The 2686-nt window shown below is 43.8% G+C and overlaps 1 pseudogene; it reads left to right on the top strand.

Moving 5' to 3' along the window:
• Positions 898-1578, top strand: NACAP7 (NACA pseudogene 7; annotated as a pseudogene).

Raw genomic sequence — 2686 nt, 5'->3', positions numbered from 1 at the left:
AATGGCTTACAGGTATGGCCAAGTTTTTGATCCCCTCAGCCTTTAGGGCAGCTAGGCAAGGCCTGAGGGTGACTAAAGTCTTCAGGCCAGTCACCTCTGGCTGTAAGTAGCCTGTCCATTTACACAGAATTGTACCATACAAATAGTATCTTTCTTTTTTCTTTTCTTGTAAGAGATGGGGTCTTGTTCTGTTGCTCAGGCTGGAATGCAGTGGTGCGATCATAGCTCACTGTGGCCTCGAACTCTTGGGCTCAAGAAATCCTCCTGCCTCAGCCAATTTTTAAATTTCTTTGTAGAGATGGGAGTTTTGCTATATTGCCCAGGTTGGTCTTAAACTCCTGTTCAAGCAATCCTCCCACCTCAGTCTTCCAAAGAGCTGGAATTATAGGAGTGAGCCACCGCTTAGGTCCAAATAGTATCATTTTCTATGTGTGCCATTACCATAGAAGGTGGGGAAGCACTAGCTTAAGGAATAGACTTATAATTTTCTCCTGAAATAAGAAGTGTGGGCTCTTTCTGCTGCCATCTTTATATTCCCTGCACAGGTCTGGCACTGAATCTTGCAGTGAAGAATCAGTACCAGAACTCAAGGAACAAAATTCCACAGAATAAGCCCAGGTGGCAGCAGCAGCCGCATTTGATGAAGAACCAGTCAAGAAAGCAAAACACAGTCAGAGTGAAGGGTAGGCACATAGCCAGGCACGGTGGCTCACAGCTGTAATCCCAGCACTTTGGGAGGCCGAGGCAGATAGATCACTTGAGGTCAGGAGTTCGAGACCAGCCTGGGCAACATGGTGAAACCCCATCTCTAGTCTAAGTACTAGTCTAGTATTTGTACTAAAAATACAAAAGTTAGCCAAGTATGGTGGCACGTTCCTGTAATCCCAGATACTCAGGAGGCTGAGGCAGGAGAATCACTTGAACTCAGGAGGCAGAGGTTGCAGTGAGCTGAGATTGCACCACTGCACTCCAGCCTGGGCGACAGAGTGAAACTCCGTCTCAAAAGACAGAAAGAAAGAAAAGAAAAGAAGGCACAGAAGGCTATGGCTATGTCCAAACTGGGTCTGTGAAAGGCTATGAGGGTTACTAGAGTCGCTATCCCGAAATCTAAGAATATCCTCTTTGTCATCACAAAACCAGATGTCTACAAGAGCCTAGCTTCAAACACCTACATAGTTTGGCTTGGGGAGGGGGGAGCGGGGAACTAAGATCAAAGATTTATCTCAACAAGCACAGCTAAGAGCTGCTGAGAAGTTCAAAGTTCAAGGTGAAGTTGTCTCAAACATTCAAGAAAACATGCAGACTTAACTATATAAGAGGAGAGGTAAGAGGAGGAGGTTGAGGAAGCAGGTGTGAAACTTAAGGATATAGGATTGGTCTTGTCACAAGCAAATGTGTGAGCAAAGGCAGTCGGAGTCCTGAAGAACAACAGTGCTGATATTGTAAATGCTATCATGGAATTAATGTAATCTGAAGATGAGGATCTTTTTGTGTGTGTTTCAAAAGAGTAACTGCAGCTTGGTTTGAAATTTGTGCTGTTTGTATTATTAATAAAGTTATGGCTTCTTGTTGGGTGAAAAAAAAGAAGTTTGAGGTAGGCATTTCCCAGTTAGAGTGCAGCTGTTCAGCAAGGTCATCTAGAGCTTTCCTCTCTTTATGCTGCTATTCCCATGATGGACTTTTATCTTCAACCTCAGGTTGCATGGTTATTTCATGGTTGCAAGATGGCCTCCCCACCTCCAAGTACCATGTTCTTACAAATGGGGTTCAAATTGGGAAATGGTGGTATCAGGGGACTCTTCTGATTCGTCAGTCTCTTTTATCAGGAAGCAAACTCTTTCCTAGAAGTTCCCCAGCAGGATTCCTCCTCACAGCTTACTGAACAGATGTGAAAGGGTCTTGGAGTTTAAGTATCTGATTTTCCCTGCTCTAATTTGGAAAGTGGGCTTGTAGAAGGTTTGGGAATGGCTTGGAGGTAGCTGACTGATAGTGCCTGCTATTTTTGTGTAAGTACACAGTATGTACACATACTGTGTAAGTGACAGTTCTGAGACTTCATTCTAGTGAATTTTTAATGAGGTTGTTTCTCTTGGAGTATCTGCTTACTTATATCATTGAATATATAAGTTGTTGTAACTCTCCCATCCAAAGCAGGGGTTGCCAAGTCCAAACTGATCTACAGACATGTGGAGCATTTAATACCTCTGTACTGCCGACTCTGTTGTCAAGAGAGAGCTTTCTGCTCTCATGTGATAGCACTATTTACATCAGAAGCTTGTCCTTAAAAGTCTATATGAATAAAAAGTTAAATTTGTTTTTTAGAGACAGGTTCTTGGTATGTTGCCCAAGCTGGCCTTGCAGTCCTGAGCTTAAGTGATCCTTCAGCCTCAGGCGCCCAAGTAGCTGGGACTTACAGGAGCCTGCCACTGAACCTGGATAAAAGTTAATTTATTTTTATTTATTTATTTATTTTTGTTGAGACAGAGTCTCACTCTGTCACCCAGGCTGGAATGCAGTGTCATGATCTCGGCTCACTGCAACTTCCTTCCCCCAGGTTCAAGCGATTCTCTTGCCTCAGCCTCCCAAGTAGCTGGGATTACAGGTACCTGCCACTGTGCCCAGCTGATTTTTTTTTGTATTTTTAGTAGAGACGGGGTTTCACCATCTTGGCCAGGCTGGTCTTGAA

Source organism: Homo sapiens, chromosome 6 (genome assembly GCF_000001405.40).
Source record: "Homo sapiens chromosome 6, GRCh38.p14 Primary Assembly".
NCBI lineage: Eukaryota > Metazoa > Chordata > Mammalia > Primates > Hominidae > Homo > Homo sapiens.
Note: the sequence above shows the minus strand (reverse complement) of the source record. Positions and strands in the feature narration are given on the sequence as shown.